This window comes from Homo sapiens, chromosome 3 (genome assembly GCF_000001405.40).
Source record: "Homo sapiens chromosome 3, GRCh38.p14 Primary Assembly".
Taxonomy (NCBI): Eukaryota; Metazoa; Chordata; class Mammalia; order Primates; family Hominidae; genus Homo; species Homo sapiens.
Genome location: NC_000003.12, coordinates 31,878,823 through 31,898,998, shown reverse-complemented (window position 1 = coordinate 31,898,998; position 20,176 = coordinate 31,878,823). Strand labels below are relative to the sequence as shown.

The 20,176-nt window shown below is 42.5% G+C and overlaps 1 protein-coding gene across 13 annotated transcripts in view, besides 1 other annotated feature; it reads left to right on the top strand.

The window, feature by feature from the left end:
• OSBPL10 (oxysterol binding protein like 10) overlaps positions 1-20,176 on the top strand; it is a 416,868-nt gene that overhangs the window by 178,694 nt on the left and 217,998 nt on the right. For 11 of the 13 annotated variants that reach the window (XM_047447390.1, XM_047447386.1, NM_001174060.2 and 8 more), the window contains one exon: positions 19,169-19,344. The exons of 1 other annotated variant lie outside the window; for it this stretch is intronic. In XM_047447390.1, the coding sequence (XP_047303346.1) occupies positions 19,169-19,344 (176 nt within the window). Of the gene's footprint in view, positions 1-19,168; positions 19,345-19,445; positions 19,570-20,176 lie in introns of those variants that run through there. One more of the 13 variants, XM_047447392.1, reaches the window with a different exon arrangement.
• Positions 1,693-2,194: an enhancer, noted in NCBI's record as "NANOG hESC enhancer chr3:31938297-31938798 (GRCh37/hg19 assembly coordinates)". NCBI's record gives its function as "activates a minimal SCP1, AML or CMV promoter by ChIP-STARR-seq in naive H9 embryonic stem cells {active_cell/tissue: H9 hESC(naive)}" and the evidence as "EXISTENCE:reporter gene assay evidence [ECO:0000049][PMID:30033119]".

Sequence of the window (20,176 nt, the reverse complement as noted above, 5' to 3'; positions counted from 1 at the left end):
CAGACCGAGACTCTGTCTCAAAAAAAAAAAAAAAAAAAAAAAAAAAAGGTTTAAAGTTAACTGTCTTAAACTTTCTCCCAAACCCAGTTGAATATTTTAATTTTAATGATACCCTCCTATGTCAAACTTTAGTTCTGTCCTTAAAAAGAATCCATAAGTTAAACATCTTTATTATTTTATGTAGACTTATATTGTTTAGATTTGCCTTTGTTTACCATTTTATTTATTCATCATTTCTTTTTGCAAACAAGACTTCTTTGTGGGATTATTTTTATTATCCCAAAGAACCTTAAAAGCTCCTTAAATGCAGGTCCCTTAGTGGTAAATTATGTTTCCGTATATCTGTATATCTGTTTTGTATATTTGTAAAGATATTTATTTCATTCTTATTCTTTTTTTTTAGATTTTTTTTTTTTTTAAGAGACAGGGTCTTGCTATGTTGCCCAGGCTGGTCTCGAACTCCTGGGCTCAAATGATCCTCCTGCCTTGGCCTCCCAAAGTGCTGGGATTACAGGCATGAGCCACCATGTGTGGCCAGCAGTTTCTAATGCTTACCCATCCTGAGAGTGTTTTTAAAAAATATTTTCAATGGACAAATCACAGTTGTATACATTTATAGGGTGTAATGTGATGTTTTGATACATGTATACAATGTGGAGTGGTTAAATCAAGCTAATTAACATATCTCTCACCTCACTTATCTTTTTTTGTGGTGAGGCATTTGAAATTTACTCCTAGCTATTTTAAAATATATAATGGATTATTACTAACTATAGTCACCCTGCTATGCGATAGATCTCAAAAACTTATTCCTCCTGTCTAACTAAAACTTTGTATCTGTTGACCAATGTATCTATATTTCCTACACACTTAAAATGTCAACAAGATCTTCCCAGACTAAAGATTCCAATATTTTTTCCTTTACATTTTGAAAATATCATTCCTTTCTCTTCTTCTTCTGTTTTTTTTTTTTTTTTTTTTTTTTTTTTTTTGACAGAGTTCTCGCTGTGTCACCCAAGCTGGGGTGCAGTGGCATGATCTCGGCTCACTGCAACCTCCTCCTACCAGGTTCAAGCAATTCTCCTGCCTCAGCCTCCCTAGTAGCTGGGACTACAGGCGCCTGCCACCACGCCCAGCTAATTTTTGTATTTTTAGTAGAGATGGGGTTTCACCATATTGGCCAGGCTGGTCTCGAACTCCTGACCTTGTGATCTGCCCACCTCAGCCTCCCAAAGTGCTGGGATTACAGGCGTGAGCCACTGTGCCTGGCCTCGTTTCTCTTCTTATACATCCAGTGCTGATATTAAAAACTCTAATGTCAACCTGATGTTTGTTTCTCTAAAGGTTTTCTGCCTTTTTTCTCTGGTAGCTTTTAGATTTTTCTTTCTTTGATTTTAAATTTTACTATAATGAATCTACATGTGGCTTTTTCTCATCTAACCTGTTTGGCACTAAGTGAGATCTTTCAATCTGAAATGTCGTATCTTTCTTTAATTGTGGTGAATACTTGGTCCTTGTTTCTTTAGATATTTTCGCTTCTTTTCATTCCTTGTTCGTTCTGTGGAACCGCTGTGGAAGGATGTTAACACTTCTGTTTTATCACATTTTCTTTTCATTTTAAAAATCCAGTCCTGATGCCTTCTGAGAGAGTGCCTTGATTAATCTTCCAGCTCACCAGTTCGTTTTTCCACCACACTCTGCTCTTCTACCAGTCCTGTGAGTGCCCTTAGCAAAGCTCTTCTTTTTCAAACCCCATATTTTCAATCAGTGGTTTCTAACTGCTCGTTTCTACTTGCATTTCCAGTAGCCTCCGCTGGTTTGCTGAGGCTAACTATGGTATTTGTTTTGTTTTAAGTTTTAGTTCTTTGTTTTCTATTAGGTCTGCTTCTTCTGTCTAAGTCATTCCATTCTTTTTTCTTCCTTTTATAGTGTAGATGTTTCTCTGATTTCTGGTTCTTTCTGCCTCTGGCATGGACCTTTTAGTGCTTTGTGATGCTTAGCTGTCTTGCCTAAGTTTTCTACCAGGGGGTGAATGACAGTAGCTCAGGCACTACCTGTCCTCCCTAGATGAGATGACGTGGCGAGAGAAGGTGCCCTTTGGACTGAAGTGTAACCAGGGACCCTTAACTCCCTGCCTTTCCTCCCCTCCCTCCAAGGACTGGCCCTAGGCTTTGCTAACTCTGCCTCCTGTGGCCTGTGGAAAGGTGCTGAGTAGGGAAGAGGCATAGGCAGGAGCTGGCTGGCCCACCATTCTTCTTCCCAGAGGTGACCCCCTCTAAGGCAGGCACTGCCCTGATTTCACAGCAGCCCTTCCAGCTGGTGCTTCTGCTTATCTGCCCATGACAATGATGTGGATGGCCCAGCTAGAGGAGCCTCCTTGAATCTGCCTCTGCTCTGTGGCCCTTAATGTCCGATTGTCCTGGACTGTCCCTGCAATCGGGAACCACTTCTGCTCTGCACGGCTCTCTGCTCTTCAGCTCCCTTTATTTTGTGTGGCGTCTCCACAACTGGATTCCAAGGAGGGAGCTGGAGATGGGCACGTTCTCCACATTGTCCAGAGTTGGAAGCAGTGATCCAAAATTCATAGATTTGTCAAGAAACTGTACCATCCTTTGCAGAAAATAAATGTCATTTTTTATTTGATTAGATTCTGTGGAATATGGATCTAAGCACCTGGAACATTTGATCCCCCTAAGGGATATAATCTTACACAGTCTTTTGAGGAGTAATTATTGTTTTTCTGTGAAGTCTGAAAAGTGATGCAATAACTCTTTCCTCTACAAAGTGTGATGGTTTTAGTGTGATGGCAACACGTGAATTTCTGAAGGATTCTGTATTTTGAAAGCTTTATTATCAATGGTGAATGTTTCATTCATACAACTGTCATACAATTCTTGGAGTTGAGTTTCTTGGAATTAATGTGGCATTGTTTTTAATTATCATAAATTAAGACATGTAGAATATACTAGGCATAATTTCTAGTACTGTGTGTGTGTATAGGTGTGTGCATTGAGGATATAGCAGCAGTGTTGAACTATTCTCAGCAATTACTGAGTGCATTGCTGAAACAGGGAATTAGATTTCACCTTCCTTTAATATGGTGATGTATTTCCCATCCTTGCTATTTCTCCTGGGTTTTGATTATGCTTCCCACAAATAACTGTAGAATTTATATAGTTTGTTGCTCTTGCCCATTCATGTAAATTTTTAGACAACATATCTGTACGTTTCTTGAAGGCAGGAACACTGAGTCACTTACCAGTGTATCCTCAGTTACTAAATATTTGTGGGAGCAGTAAGCATTATAATCCCCTGTTTTAAAGATGTTCACATTGGCACAGGAAGAGTCAAACAGCTTGGATTATCAGTTAGGAATTGTGTTCAGCTGTGAGTAATGGAGTTACATAAAGTTGGAGTCCATCACAGATTCTCCACGTTGACTGCAATTGTAACCACCTGAGGAGCTTTAAAAAACTACCACTGCCTGAGTTTCATCCCCAGAGATTCTGAGTTAATTGGTCCAAGTGTATGTGGGGGATTGGGATTGTTTAAAAAAAGTCTGGGCTGGGTGCGGTGGCTCATGTCTGTAATCCCAGCACTTTGGGAGGCTGAGGCGGGCAGATCATGAGGTCAGGAGATCAAGACCATCCTGGCTAACATGGTGAAACCCCCATCTCTACTAAAAATACAAAAAAAAAAATTAGCCGGGCGTGGTGACGGGTGCCTGTAATCCCAGCTACTCGGGAGGCTGAGGTAGGAGAATGGCGTCAACCCGGGAGACAGCTAGCAGTGAACCGAGATCACACCACTGCACTCCAGCCTGGGCGACAGAGTGAGACTCCGTCTAAAAAAAAAAAAAAAAAAGGCCGCAGAGAATTCTAATATGCAGCATTTATGTTCTGTCACATAAAAGCAGTTTGGAGGTAGCTTTTCCGGGTTGGTTTGGGGATTCCACAGAAATCAGAGACCCATGCTCCTTCCAGCTTTCTGCTTCACCATCCCTAGAGTGTGGCATGGAATTTCAGCCATTGCATTCATCTTCTAAAAAGCAAGTGGAGGAGGGAGGGAAGGTAATACGACAGCATTTTTCCTCATTAGTTAGAACTTAGTCAATTGATCACATCTAAGTGAAAGGAAGGCTGGGAAAGATATTCCGGCATAGCATGTTGTGTCCGACTAAAAACTAGCGTTCTCTTGAGAGAGAAGGGAAATAGGTATTTAGTGGGTAGTAGTCTGTCTCTGCCACACCTGGTTTCAGACCGCTAATCAATCAGTGGCAGAGCTGAAATTCAGATCCTGGCTTCAACCCAATAATGTTTCCACTCCTCCCAGTAAAAATGGAATGAGGATGTTGGAAAATAGCTGGTGGATTTAGGCAATACGTGTTTGGAAGAGAAGTTCTTTTCCTTTCTCTTGGGCTTGCTGCATCAACAACAACAAAACAAAAACGGATTTGCTTGACAATAAATTAGGGCCATGGGAATCCATGAATCTAGAAATAAACAGATGAGTGTATGGTCACAAATAGGATGTTTCAGTTCTTACTGACACTTTGTCAGCATTTGACATGGTCACTCTGTCCTTTCTGTGCTTCTGGTTTTCCTCTCTGCCTTGTTTTCTCTGTTCTTTTCCCTGTTTAATGTTAGAATTCCTCAAGTCTTGGTCCCAGGCCCGTTCCTTCCTGCCTCCCCTTGTCCTCCTTGTTCCTCTTTCTGGGCAATCTCATCTATGCCTGTGGCCTCAATTTCTACTTATTTGCAGATGATTTGCAAATTCACATCTCCAACTCCGACCGCTCCTGGGCTCCAGATTCATCCATCCAACGGCTAAGTGACATTTCTTGGAGTAAGGTATTTCAAATGCAGCATTCCCAAAACTGAATTCCTGCCTCATCAAATCTTGTCAACTGAAACTCTGCCATCACCACCTTGGTCTAGGCTATTGCCAGGATCACTGTAGATATCACTTGTATTAAGGTATAATTTAAACATTATAAAATTCACTCATTGTAAGTATACAATTGAGTTACTTTTAGTAAATTTATATAGTTTTGTAACTATCACCACAATTCAGTTTGAGAATATTTCTAACACCAACATTTTTTTAAAAAAATAAAATAATCCCTGTAAGCAGTTTGCAGCTAATCCTGCTCCCACCCTTAGCCCCAGACAACCACTTATCTTTTTGTCTCTCTGTTTCCCTTTGCTGGACGTTTTATATAAATAGAATGATACAATTTGTAGTGTTTTTCATCTGGCTCCTTTAGCATAATGTTTTTGAGGTTCATCCATGTTGTACTTTTATTGCTGAATAGTATGCCATGGGATGGATATGCCACATTTTCTTTATCCATTCACCAGTTAACATTTAAATTATTTCCAGTTTCTGGCTACTATGAATAATACTGCTTTAACATTCGCATGTAAGTCTTTGGTGTAGACATTTGTTTTAATTTCTGTTTAGTAGATTCTTAGGAGTGAAACTGATGTGTTGTAGGTTAAGTTTATTTTCACAAGCAGATGTTCTATTTCACATTCCTACCAAGAGTGTGGAAAGGTTCCAGTTTCTCCATATCCTTACCATTTGTCATTGTCTTTTTAATTATAGCTGTTCTAGTGGGTGTGAACTGGAATCTCATTGTGGTTTTAATTTGCATTTTTCTAAAGACTAATCATGTGCATCTTTTCATGTATTTATTAACCATTCATGTATCTTCTTTGGTGAAATGTCTTCTTTGGTGAAATGAAATATTTTGCATTTCTTGAATGGGTTGCTTCTCTTAGTTTTGAGGTGTAAGGGTTCTTTGTATATTTTGCATGTATATACTTGGTATTTAGTCAAAGATTGGCCAGAGATTGTGCTTTAGCCAGAAAGGCTTTGACTCTGCCCCTCTATCTGCTTGTTAGGAGGGAGCACATTAACATTTCAGGCTGTTTCCGTGTCCTTCCTGGCTCTTACTTTTTATCGCTCTTCCCTGTGCCTGAGCATAGGCTCTGTTGACCAAGGATGTATGGGTGCCGTGGGCCTGCTCTGGTCTCTGCTGCAGTTGTGCTCAACCACCGGTTAACAGATACATGAAAAGTTTAGCCCCATGGTTTTCTCACCTCCTGAAATTCCCAATTAAATCCCTGGCTAGTCTGCTGGTCCGTGGCTTGCTCCAAACTGGGCAGCAACCTCAGGCCAGTGGAGCCCCTGGTCTTCCCACTGCATCTGCCTGCAATTGCCACTTTACCTGATGATGATCCGAATCATGTGAGCAATTGCCCTCACCCTCGCCCTCTCCCTCTCCCTCAGGCAGCAGAACCCTGCTGCCCCAGTCGAACTACCGGTCAGCATTGCTAGGAGGAGGCTGGGGACAGCCCAGGCATGATCCCCAAGCTCTGCTTGTTCTTATCAAAGTTTGGTCAGTTTCTACTGTTCTGAAATGGTTGCTTTTGACAGTTTTGTCCAGTTTTATAGTTGACTTTTTTGGGGAGAGAATGTGTTAGTCTCCCCAGTCGTCACGTTGAGAGAAAGCGAGTCTCTGCAGCCGCCTTTCTGCTCCCTCTGCTCCCACCTGGCTTCTTTCCTGGCCTTTCCCTACTTTGGAGCTAGAATTCTCTTTCTACAAAGTAGTTCTGGTTCTGTCCCTGCCGCTGGTTGATGTTAGGATAAAGTCCCGCCACGCCTTGTAGGCGCAGCATGGTTTGCATTGCCTACGTCTTTAGCCCCATCTGATAACACACATTCTTTCCTTCTCTTTGCTCCAAACACACTGGTTTTTCTCCATTCCCTCTCCCCACTCCGTCCTCAGGGCCATACACGTGCTCCTTCCTCTGCTTGGAACTCTCTCCTCTCCTCTTCCCCGAGTCCATTTCTTCACACCTCAGATCTCAGTTCCTCCGTCTCCAGACAGGCCCTAGTAAGTCAAATTCTACTAATTGACTCACTTCTATTACAACACACAATCACAGCCAGAGTTTGGCACTCATTTTAGTGAATATTTTATTCTCTGCTTCCCTCCCCCGTTAGAATAGGGGCTTTGTCACCCATACCACATGTATCCTTAGCACAATACCTGGCTCATAGCAGATAGTAAAAATTTTTCCGAAAACAAATGAGTGAATTCTTACAAATAAAACTTAGTTTGGGGACTTGGAGCTACCCTCTTCAAAACATTGTTGAGCTTTTATATGGATTCTCTTCTCTTTAACCATTACCTGAATAAACTTATCCAGAGTGCTTTATTCATATCACAGAACCTATGTACAGTTGACCACACTGACAGCTGAGTGTGAGCCCCTGCCAAATAATATTTCCGTGGCACTGGCACCCCCCAAAAATGGCAAACACAAGCTCTCAAGTTCTGTCTTGTTGGCATTGTAGTAAACTGCTGATACAATGCAATATGAGCATCAGCATCAGATCTGATTTACTGTCTGCATTTAGGAATGTGATATGAACATTTGGAAATTCTTGTTTTATAAGCAGGCAGACCTTTGGGCACAGAGACGGTGGGATGGACTGCAAGAGCGAATTAGCCAGCTTTTTGTTTTTGCAAATGTGGAAATCAAGTCTTAGAGTGGATAAAGAACTTGCCCGAGGTCACAAAAATGAAAACAAGTGGTTCCCAAAGTGTGGTCCTACCAGCAGCATCAGCATCACCTGGGAACTTGTTAGAAATCAAATTCTCCTGCTCCACCCAGACCTCCTGAATCATAAGCTCTGGGGGAGGGGCCCAGGAAGCTGTGTTTTAACCAACTTCCAGGTGATTCTGATGTGGGCAAAGTCTGAAAACCCCTGGCCTAGGGCATAATTAGGTCTCTGACTGCCGAATCACACTACCTTCCTCTATGCTTTGTTGCCCCTAGAGAAAAAGTAAAGGACACTTTGAATTCAGGGACGGTGGAATTTAGAGACTTAGTTGATGTTTAGGGAAAAAGCTGAGCCATGGGGCTTGTTGATGATTGGGTTTGCTTCTCCTGGCCTCCACAGGACAGCTCCCATCTCTCTTGCTCTTGGTGGGTACTAAACTGGGGTTGCTCACCCACTTTTACCCCAGGGCTTTAGCTAGTATCAGAATTTTTTCAGCGTGACTTTCAGGATGGGTGTGTTATAGTACAAAGCAGAGACGTGAATCAGGACTTAGCTCATTTCCAGGTAAGTTCCAACATCGTCAGTATCAAGAATAAGATATAATTTGTGAGCATTAAGACGCAGATTGGTATCGAAATTTTCACCTAAAGACACCAGAAACTCAAGAGTTAATAGTTCAGAGGGAAATGAGGCAATATTGTGAAAGCCTATATTAATTCTCATAAGACAGGTCTCAGTTCTTTCGGGCTTAAATCAACTAGTCTTTAAAAGCAGATCGAGTCTCATCATAGATCAAATCCAAGCTCAGTGCATCAAATCTTGAGTTAAAAGTTCACTTTGACTTATTCTGGTGCTTTATGAGGTCTCCAAAGCAGCAGCCTCTCAGGCTGGTGGCTCTTAATCTTGAGGTGCTTCACTCAGCCTGGCCCCTGGAGCCCCTCTGCTCAAGTGAGCACCTTCATAATGCCAGGTGATGATCCCATTATGCAGGAACTCGATGCCAGGTGATTTCAAACAATGTCTTTAAACCTTTCTCAAAAACACTTCCAGAGTGACAAAACCAAGAAATCCACTGTCTGGGCTGCTGTGATTTAGGAAAGCTGGGGTTTGGCTGTTTTTGACTAAGACAAAATGAGGTTGGCTAATGCTTAAATAACATTCATCTTGGTTATATGGGTGTGTGGGTGCTCAGGTGTTTGAATGAATGATTGAGAGAAATGCTTGGCATACCAGATGGAAAACAGGGTGATGAATAACGGAAGGTTTTATTTTGACTCTGATTTTGCACTGTTTTTTGTACTTGAGGGTGCTTCTGAATCACTTGGAAAACTTCTTGAAATTCACATTTCCGACTTCCTGACCTTCACAAAGATCCTCTAGGTGTAGGTTGAGAGTCAGAATCCACATTTTCAACAAGCTTTTCAACTGATTGAGAAGCAGAGAGCAACTGGACCAAACTTTAAGAAACATTATTTTTATTAAGTTTTAAATTGACACATAATTGTACATATTTATGGGCTACATAGTGATGTTTTGAGACATACAACATACCATGATCATATCAGGGTAATTAGCATATCCATCATCTCAAACATTTATCATTTCTTTGTGCTGGGAACATGCAATATCCTCCTCCGAGCTATTTGAAGCTATATATTATTCATTAGCATCATTGTATTGTGCTATAGAATGCTAGAAATCCTCCCGTCTAGCTATAAGTTTGTATCCTTTAACAAATCTCCTTCTATCCCTCCCTTCCCCCAACCCTTCCCAGCCCCTAGTATCCTCTATTCTACTTTTTATTTCTAGGAGGTCAATTTTTTTTTTTTAAGTTTCCATACATGAGTGAGAGAATATGTGGTGGTTAAATTTCTGTTCCTTGCTTATTTCACTTAACATAGTGTCCTTCAGTTCCATCTGTGTTGCTGAGAATGACAGGGTTTCATTCTTTTTTAAGGCTGAATAATGTTTCATTGTGTATATAGACCACATTTTCTTTATCCGTTCATCTGTTGTTGGACACCCAGCTTGATTCCACATCTTGGCTATTGTGAATAGTGCTGCACTAAACGTGGGGGTGCAGATGTCTCTTCAATACACTGATTTCCTTTCCTTTGCATAAATCCCAGTAGTGGATTGCTGGATCATATGGTAGCTGTACCTGTAGTTCTTTGAAGAGTATTCATACTGTTTTCCATAATTGCTATACTGGTTTACGTTCCCACCAATAGTGTATAAGAGTTCCCTTTTCTTTGTATCTTCACCAGCATTTGTTATTTTTTGTCTTTTTGATAATAGCCATGCGAGCTGGGGTTAGATGATTCCTCATTGTGATTTTGATTTGCATTTTCCTAATGATTAGTGATGTTGAGCATTTTTTCATATATTTGTTGGACATTTGTATATCCTTTGAGAAATATCTTCAGATCATTTTTAAATGATGAATTTAAAATCAGATTATTTTTAAAGCAGATTATTATTATTATTATTATTTTTTCCTGAGATGGAGTCTCACTCTGTCACCCAGGCTGGAGTGCAGTGACGTGATCTCGGCTCACTGCAACCTCCACCTCTCAGGTTCGAGTGATTCTCCTGCCTCAGCTTCCCAAGTAGCTGGGATTATAGGCATGCACCACCAGGCCTGGCTAATTTTTTTTATATTTTTAGTAGAGATGGGGTTTCACCATGTTGGCCAGGCTGGTCTTGAACTCCTGACCTCAGGTGATCTGCCCACCTCAGCCTCCCAAAGTGCTGGGATTACGGGCGTGAGCCACTGTGCCCAGCCCATTATTTGTGGTTTTTTTTCGCTGTTGTTTGAGTTTCTTGTATATACTGGATATTAATCTCTTGTTAGATGAATAGTTTGCAAATATTTTCCCCCATTCTGTAGATTGTCTTTTCACTCTGTTGTTTCCTTTGTTGCACAGAAGCTTTTATAGCTTGATGTGATCACATTTGTTTATTTTTGCTTTGGCTTCCTGTGCTTTTGAGGTCTCACTAATTTATAAAATCTTTTCCCAGACCAAGGTCCTGCAGCATTTCCCTTTTGTTTTCTTCTAGTAGTTTTGTAGTTTTCAGGTCTTACATTTAGGTCTTTCATTCATTTTGAGTTGATTTTTGTATAGGATAAGAGATGTCTCTTTCTTCTGCATATGGATATCCAGTTGTCCCCGCACCATTTACTGAAGAGACTGAGCTTTCCTCGATGTATGTTTTTGGTGCCTTTGTCAAAAATCAGTTGGCTGTAGATACAGGAATTAATTTCTGAGTTCTCTATTCTGTTCCATTGGTTTATGTGTCTCTTTTTTGTGCCAGTACCATGCTGTTTTGGATACTACAGCTTTGTAGTATCTTTTGAAGTCTGGTAGTGTGTTCTAATATAATTCTTATGTAATAGACTATATTTGTTCCTGGCTTGGTGATGAGCCTGAGGACCCTCTGACAATTTAGTACCACCTGGGGTGTGTTGGAATCTCTACATCTTGGTGGTTTGGGAGGATGGTGATGGTGGCAGTGGTGGGACTCTGGTCACAGACAAGTAGCTGAGAGATGTAAGAAGACCACTGCATTTCTCTAGTCATTGCCACAAATTCCAAGAGTTAAGAAGATTCCAGATTTTAAAGTTTGGTTGGGATTGAGTTTGCCTGCAGGTGCTGTGCCTTGGAACCTGTTGTAAGGTTTTGGCTGTAGGATCCAGTGTCTTACTTCCAGGAAGTTTGGTTATCATGAGAGAAATTCTAGAAAACTTACTATTTTCTTCTAAACCTCTTAAGGTTTTTGAGTATAAACTCTTCTAAGATGACAAGACTACTATAGGGAAGGAAGAAAGTTTCTTTTCTTTCTACCCTCTAGGTTGAGCATATTTTGGGGTTATATATTATGCTTTCTTTCCTTCACCGCAATGATTAAGGCATTACAGCCCCACCTGGAGATGTGTAGATACCTCCTATGTGACACTGGTAGCTCCAAGGAGGAAACTTTTTGCTGACTTTAGTCTGTTGATCTCTGGAGATGAGAAGGGTTCAACAAATGATTACCAGATGATATTAATTTTAAAAACATATGGGACACTCGGGAAAATGCATCCATAGTTTGGCCCCCCACTTCACATACTGAGTGTGCTTTATTTTGCTGACTTTTCCTGAGTTTTTCTGTAAGTAGTAGATTGGAAGTTTTATAAACAAGGTACTTGTTGATCTCAGAGATGGTGAAGCTTTAGATGTTTGTGCACAGGAGGGACCTGGAAGGCTACTGAAACCTCAAGAATCAGTGTGTACATTGCTGGAAAGAACTGCTCCTTCCAGCTTGGACCTTGTACCAGGCAAATCTTTTAGTGGGAACCATGTGGGGGTGGGGAGATGCTGAGGGTAGGGAGGGTCTCAGTCTCTGCCATTAGTGTGTTCGTGGGGGTGTCTGTTGACTGCAACTCTGGAAGAGTCAGGTAGTAACTATCCCACATGGAGAAGGGTTTTCTTTTTTTTTTTTGAGATGGAGTCTCACTCTGTCACCCAGGCTGGAGTGCAGTGGCATGACCTCGGCTCACTGCAGCCCTGCCTCCTGGGTTCCAGCGATTCTTCTGCCTCAGCCTCCCGAGTAGCTGGGAGTACAGGTGCATGCCACCATGCCCAGCTAATTTTTGTATTTTTAGTAGAGACGAGGTTTCACCATATTGGCCAGGCTGGTCTCGAACTCCTGACCTCGTGATCCGCCCGCCTCAGCCTCCCAAAGTGCTGGGATTACAGGCGTGATCCACCGCATCCGGCCAGGAGAAGGGTCTTAAGCTGAAGAACATGGCATAGTTGCCATTGGTCAGGACGAGACAGGGTGCAGAAGTCTGTTCACAGGCCCCGTTCATGCAGTCCAGCAGTTTGGAGCAGATGCGTCTCAGAAGATAGAGGCCTGAGGAAGGCGAGGCAGATCTCAGCAGGGAGGTCCACCCTCTCCATGAAGCTGCGGTCAGCTAGGAGCTTGGTGCTCATTCCTCTTTCACGTGGCAGAAGGTGGGCCTGGGTAGGTAAGGGGCCTTCATGGCCCTGGACTTGACCATCTTGTGTGGCAGTGAGGGACTGATCCTCACCAGGACTAAGAGGAGCCTGAGCCCCTCTTGGTAATAGCAGTAATGTGGCTATGTAAGGTATGCTGCTCAGTCATTAAAGAGAGGGCCATAACCTCCCCTTCTTGGGCCCTTTATGCTTGTTGTTTTAATTTTCACTTTTAAATTTAGATGAAATGATTTTGCTTTTTGTTAGAACCAGCCTGTCTAGCAGAGTGCTTCAAAGAAAGATTTTTTTCATGCATGTTTGTAATTCTCTTGTAGTTTGGCTCTAACTTCTGGCTGTCAGCATGAGTGAGCTGTTTCCCACTGCAGCCCCCCACCCCCCATCTCCTTCTCCTTTCTTTCTTTCTTTCTTTTTTTTTTTTTTTTTTTGAGATGGAGTTTCGCTCTTGTTTCCCAGGCTGGAGTGCAATGGTGTGACCTTGGCTTACTGCAACCTCCGCATCCTGGGTTCAAGCGATTCTCCTGCCTCAGCCTCTCAAGTAGCTAGGATTACAGGCACCTGCCACCATGCCAGGCTAATTTTTTTTTTTTTTTTTGTATTTTTAGTAGAGATGGGGTTTCACCATGTTGGCCAGGCTGATCTTGAACTCCTGACCTCAGGTGATGCACCCATCTCAGACTCCCAAAGTGCTGGGATTATAGGCATGAGCCACTGCACCTGGCCTCTCCTTTCTATTTCTCTTCTTGCCTGGGGTTTGGCTAAGGGTTGTTGGTGAAATCCTAGGCCCAGTTCCTTCCCCGACAAAGGAAACATGTATGCTTTTGTCAGCTTTTAGATCCTAAAGTTGAACCTTAATGAAACTATGTCGGGTAGATGGGGGTGTAGAGGCAGCAATGAAATGGGTACCTGTGCAGACAGATGATGTCTCAGAGATGCAAGACTGGCAAGGCACAGTGAGTGGGTAAGGGCAGTGCAGTGTGTGGGTGTGAACGAGTGAGAACATGTGCAGGTGAGTGTGAATATGCAAATGCACCTTCAAGGGTGAGTGCATGGGTGGTTATGAATGTGTGAGTGTGTCACACTCTTGGTGCCTCCAGTTGTGCAAGTGTGCATGAGTTTGTGAGTATGTGAGTGTGAACATGTGTAAGCATGAATGCAAGTACCTGTGTGAGTGTGTTTATATGTATAGTGTGTGTGAGATGCATGTATGTTTGTGGGCATCAGTGTGAGTGTGTCACATATATAAGTGTATATGAGGGTATATATGTGTGCATTTGTGCTTCTTTTGGAAACAATGGATATATCTGAAGGATGTTAGTAGGCAATGGCTTGTCCTCAGCCCTTCCCAGGAAGGGGCCTACACTTGCCCTATCTCCCAGCTTTGGGATTGAGCAAGGGTTTCACCAAGAAGCTAGCCTGGTGAGAATTAAGATGGCTTTCCTCATGGGTTTGTTCGCTTTCTTCCCTCATTTTCCCTTTCTCCCTGCAGCACATGCTTTGATTTTTTTTTCCTCTTTTATTGATGTTATTTTTAACATAGCAAAGAAAGTATGTTCTCTCTGGGTACAATTAAGTTCACCAACACAGCAGTCAAGTTGCACACTGTAGCTTCAAGAAGTTAATTAATAAACCCCAGAACGTAGGAATTAGATTTGCCTTATTCTGTTCTCTAGAAGGGAAGATCTTTAAGAATGTTTCAGGATTTTATCTGACAATTTCACTTGGTTTAATGAAGCCCGATCCAGAAATACGGTTTACTTTTCCATTTAGAATGAAAGCTGTGACTTTGAGATATAGCTGCGTGCTCCTAACAGCAGTACCTGACAAAGCCATGACCCTGTGGGAAACCAAATTTAATTTCTTTCCTACCAGGGAATGTGACCCACAGGAATTCTTAATGCTATATGGACAGTGCTTATCCATATATGACACAAGCTGACTTAACTGTCAGAGGCCATGCTGAAAGAACACTTGTTGAGTCTGTTGCAATTTTTTTCTAGTCTGTTGGAATTTTTAATCAGATAGTGTCCCATCAGTCCCTTCCAAATATAAAAATTTTAACTGTCTTTAGAAGAGGAGTAAATTATTGATAACTCTCCTTAGTACACATGATTCAAACCTGTGCATTTGCATTGAAACTATTTTAGAAAGCAGTGGAAACATGTTCTTTTTTTTCATCTGAGGCAGAAAGTTAAAGATGTCAGTTTGAAATAGTTAATGTGAAAAATCATTAATGTGTCCCTATATTCTATATAATGTGACATCAGTTGGTTATTCTGTCATACTTACTGAAAAAATAAAACAGCGTTCAATTCATTTCTTTATACCAGCTCCTAAATAATGTCCTCTTCAATTATATAGTTATTTGTTTGAACAGGATGCATTTGGGAAGCTGCCTCTAGGAGAGAGAAAAGCTGGCAAGCTGGCAGGTTCTCTGTGGATAAGTTGGTAGGAGCGGTAAGGAGAGAAAAGTTAAGCCTTTGCTTCATTCCAGTCAATGGCATAGAGTAGATGGGGAAACTGAGGACATGTTACTTTGCCTTTTCATTGAAAGTTTATCCCCTTCCTTTTCTACTTACCTTTGTGTAAGAGTGGCATGTGGCCAGGCACGGTGGCTCATGCCTGTAATTCCAGCACGTGGGGAGGCCGAGGCGGGTGGATCACCTGAAGTCAGGACCTGCCTGGCCAACATGGCGAAACCCTGTCTCTACTGAAAATGCAAAAATTAGCTGGGCATAGTGGCAAGCGCCTGTAATCTCAGCTACTCGGGAGGCTGAGGCAGGAGAATCACTTGAACCCGGGAGGTGGAGGTTGCAGTAAGCCAAGATCACACCATTGCAGTCCTGCCTAACAGAGCAAGACTCATCTCAAAAAAAAAAAACAACAAAAAAAAAACAGGCTCATGCCTGTAATCCCAGCACTATGGGAGGCTGAGGTGGGCAGATCACCTGAGGTCAGGAGTTTGAGACTAGACTGGCCAACATGGGGAAACCCCATCTCTACTAAAAATACAAAAAAAATTAGCTGGGCGTGGTGGTGTCTGTAATCCCAGCTACTTGGGGAGGCTGAGGCAGGAAAATCACTTGAACCTGGGAAGTGGAGGTTGCAGTGAGCTGAGATCGTGCCATTGCACTCTAGCCTGGGCAAAGAAGCGAGACTCCATCTCAAAAAAAAAAAAAAGAGTGGCATGCTTGTCAAAGGGGATGCTGCAGTGCTGTGTCTGCAGGTGTGTGTAGGGGGGCACACATGGCACAACGTGCTGTAGTGTGAGCCTACCTAGTCTCCTTCCTCAGCTTGAAAGGATGATTGTTCATGTTCTAACTTGCCATGAGCATTGTCTGCACAGCCGCAGTCAGAATGACATTAAATATAGGTCAAGTGGAAGACACTCCTCAAGGCAGTCAGCACTTAAATAATTTGACCATTTGCTGCTCAGAAGTTACCCTGGTTCTTCTCTCATTGAGGGAGTTTGGTTTTTGCCCCACATTAAAGAATAGGGGCAAATTTCAAGTAGAAGGATCTGAAAATACAAATAAAAAGGGTTTTTTATGTCTTTGTTAATGTAAGGCTAGCAGCTGCTATAACAGATACTGATCCCCGTGGCCTAGTTAAAGTTTCTTTCTTATTAATATAGTGGTCTGATGTGGGTGTTGCTCAGCAGGTGATGCTCTTCCAGGTGGTGTTTCAGGGACCCAGGCTCTCCCAAGTTGTGCTGTAGGTTGTCTCCATTCCAGTGCGTGTGTGTGTGTGTGTGCGTGTGTGCACACTTCTGCTCACATTCTATTGGCTAAAGCTCAAAAAGCCACACCCTAAGTGCTGGGAAGGCTGAGAAATGTGTTCTGGATGTGGCTTCTCTGGAAGAGGAGGAAAGGGATTTGTTGATGGTAGTTTACGCCAGTGATTTTCACACTTCACCTGCAGCAGATTACCTGGAAGCTTGTTAAAACAGTTTCTGATTCAGCAGGGCTTGGGTGGGGCCCAAGATTTTCCATTTCTAACAAGATCCCAGGCAATGTTGTTACTGCCGGCTTGGGGATCACACTTTGAATAGCCCTGGTTCTGACACATTTTTGCGTCTTCGTTTATCCACGCTGTTCATGAGAACCAGAAATACCGTTATTAGAATGACTTGAGAGATGAGAGGGAAGAAGAGTAAAATAGATAGTAGTCTTGGCCAGACCATCTGAAATATTAAAAATAATTCAAAGTGGACGATTTCTTAGAGGAATTGGAGCTTTGGAGGACTGCCACCCGGGCAGTCATGTGCTAATGAGATGGCTGCGACTTGCTCCCTTGCCGGGGCCATAAGTAGGGACCTCTACTGCCAGGCAAAGGAGCTTTCAGCTTCATTATCTCTGTTGGAACAGGGAGATTTGGAGAATGAAGTATGTAAATAGGTCCTGGAGAAGTGATATGGAGAAGTTACAAGGAAGGACTTGAGTGAGAATCAAGGAGTTTCAGTTTGCTGGAGTGGACCCGAGCCTGAACTTTGGACACAGAAGAGTTGAACTTGGATTTTAAATTCCTTCAAGTCTCAGGATACGTATAATGTGGGGATAACATCTATTCTGTTGGGTTATTGTGAGAATAATTTAGAGGTTTGTGAACTTTGCTGGTTGTTGGTGCTTCTAGGTTAAAATAAGTATCTAACAGATTCATTTTTTAAGTGGTTAGTTCCAAACAACCTCATACATATTTATGTCTAAACAACTCAGTAGCTATTTGAAAAAATAATATCAATTGAAAGAAAAATATTTTAGTTTCTTAAATAACCACAATTACTTATTAATGGGATGTGTGTACCTGTGGGTACTGCACAGCTTCTCAAACCTTGGAATCATACTGGACATTGCTGTTCTCTTTTCCTGTTCTACGTTGATGTTTTTTTTTAAATCGTAGCACCTGCTGAAACTCTTTGCAAAAATATGATGGCATCAAAAGGAGTGTAGTGCAATATAATGTTAAAACTGTGAAAAGTCCCTGAGTTGGTAGTACAGACGGTATGTTGAGTCTCGCCATGTATCCCTCAAAAAATGTAAAATATGTTGCATTGCCTCTATCAGTTCACTGTATGACCCGGGTGCTTTGATGCATGGATGGAGAAACGTGGGATTTAGTAGGTTTTTTTCTTTATTCATTCCTTGCACAAGTGCTAACTGAGTAGCAATGAACTATCAGGCACACTGCTGGGCGCTGTGGGGAGGAAAACACTTTCCACTTCCGCAGAGTGTAGTCTAGTGGGGAAACCAGTCATTGAATCAGATAATCACACAAATGTAGACTTCAAATGGGGCCAGTACCATGAGGGAGCATTTCAAAGTGCTGCAAGAAAGAATATTTGACCCGGTCAGGAGAACTTGACACGGCAAGAAGGGGTAGGAACCATATTCCAGGCAGGGGGAGTAGCATTCTGGGCAAGTGTTTTTCAAACTATCTATGGTGAAGGACCTGCTTCACTCCATCTGCCAATTGCACTGTCATTGGTTCATGACTAGTATGTAGCTTGTGTGGACCACGTGTGTTTGACAACTTCTGAACTGTTGAGACTTGTCCAACTGATCTATGCATTTGGATATTGAAACAAAGCCAAATGCAGGAAATGTTTCAAAAGGGTGTGGTGGACTGGTAACAGTTTGTAGACCGTCAAAATTTGCAGACCACACTTTGAGTAACTGCTCCAGACAGCAAGAACAGCATGTGCAAAGGTCCTGTGGCAGGAGGCAACTTGGTGACTATGAAGGAAGAGAGAAAAGACTAGTGTCAGTGGAAGATGAAGTGAGAAGGTAGAAAAGTCAGCAGGGGCGGGCCTCAAGGCCACAGTAAGAATCTGAGGCTCAGGTGAAGACATTTCCCTCCTGGTGGAGAAGGGGAAATTGTCTTGACTACTTCCTAGGTAATAGCTTGAGAAAATTAACAGGCCAGATATTTGGCTACAAAGATTCATTGTGTGATTTAAGCAAATTGGAGTTCTTCTTCTTTTACCATGGATGTAGAGTTCAGTGGCATTTCAACGTCCCAGAGCAGGGGGATTCCTTGCCTTCGTGTGAATGGGCCTGCTAGAGCGTGTCCAGATGGTTGCAGAAGCACCTCCAGTTCCCTGACAGATGCTGCCAGGTGCTCAGGCTCCTTATGGTACCCATGCCACTGGCAGGAAGTTGGAGACCAAGCTTGCTGCTGCTCTCTGGGTGTGAAACTACCTCTCCTGGAGGCCTTGTGAATTTCAACTGTTCCTGTGAATTCATGTGGAGCATGTTGCAAGAGGCTGTGTTGCAATGCTTCTGCCAGTCTCTGTCATTCTGAGGTTTAATGTGGTATCCATGGGTACTGGGTGAAGTGTGGGCATGGCACCAAATCCTGAGTGGTCCTGGCCCTTGCCCACAAGTGCCCCATTATGAGCGCCACTCTGATTTAAGAATCCAGTGCTCTCTCCCTACTCAGGCTAACTTCTATGGGCATCTGGGAGGGACTTTTGGTTTCCAGCTTCATGGATGTGGAGTCTTGATGTTGACTTCTGGATCACTTTGCTTTTTTCTGCTTTGCTGTGCAGAATAGGGTAGGAGAGAAAAATGATGTACTGTGGTTTCTCTGTGCAGGTACTTCGTACTGGATTTCGAGGCTGGCATCCTGCAGTATTTTGTGAATGAGCAAAGCAAACACCAGAAGCCTCGAGGAGTCCTGTCTTTATCTGGAGCCATAGTGTCCCTGAGCGATGAAGCTCCCCACATGCTGGTGGTGTACTCTGCTAATGGAGAGATGTTTAAACTGAGAGGTGCGTTCTTCTCCCAGTAACTTTTCAGACAGGCCTCTAGTTGCTATGGTGATGGCTCTCTTGTTTTTTGATTTTTTGTTTTTTTAAATTGCCTTTGACAGTTTGCTGTGTTTGGAGGACTCTGTGGTGACACACATTGCCTCTCTTATCCCTGGGGTGGGGAGATGGAGCTGACATTAGGAATTACTTGTCCTAATTAACTGAGGAATTAAGGACAAAGGAAAGGTGAGTGATTCCCAAAGCAGCGCGCCTTAGGACTTCGAAGATCTTAAGTGTTAGCTCAGTATATTCTCTTTGACGTAATAGTATGAATCTTCACTACAGTGCCCTGTGAGGGCTGTGCTATAAGGGCAAAAAAAGACCTTTAAGGGTCCTAGTGTTTTCCCCCCAAAGTTTCTCTAGAACCGTTTCTTAGTAAAGTGCCCCTTTGAGTTTTGTTCAATCCACTGTCGTAGAGCCTGGTGAGAAGCCAACTGGAATGGAGTTAATGTCCCTTTGTATGCTTTCTTCCCTTCTCTTTGCTTCTTGAAAATGGATATCTTTGCTTTAATAAAGAAAAAAAAGAAAATGGATACCTGCCCAGCATCCCGGAAATGAGGATGACTTTCCAGGGAGTCCAGTATTCACCCTCAAGACACATCCATCGCACAGAAATGTCAGACTTGTAATAAAATTGCAGTGTAATTTGATTGCTAGATCATTCTACCAGGATCTGTCATGGTTGCATTGCTGTGATTCTTCTGCCACTTTTCTTCTAATAAAATAATGAAATGAAACAACAAATCTAAATGCCCACAAGTGCATGCACACACACACACACACACACACACAC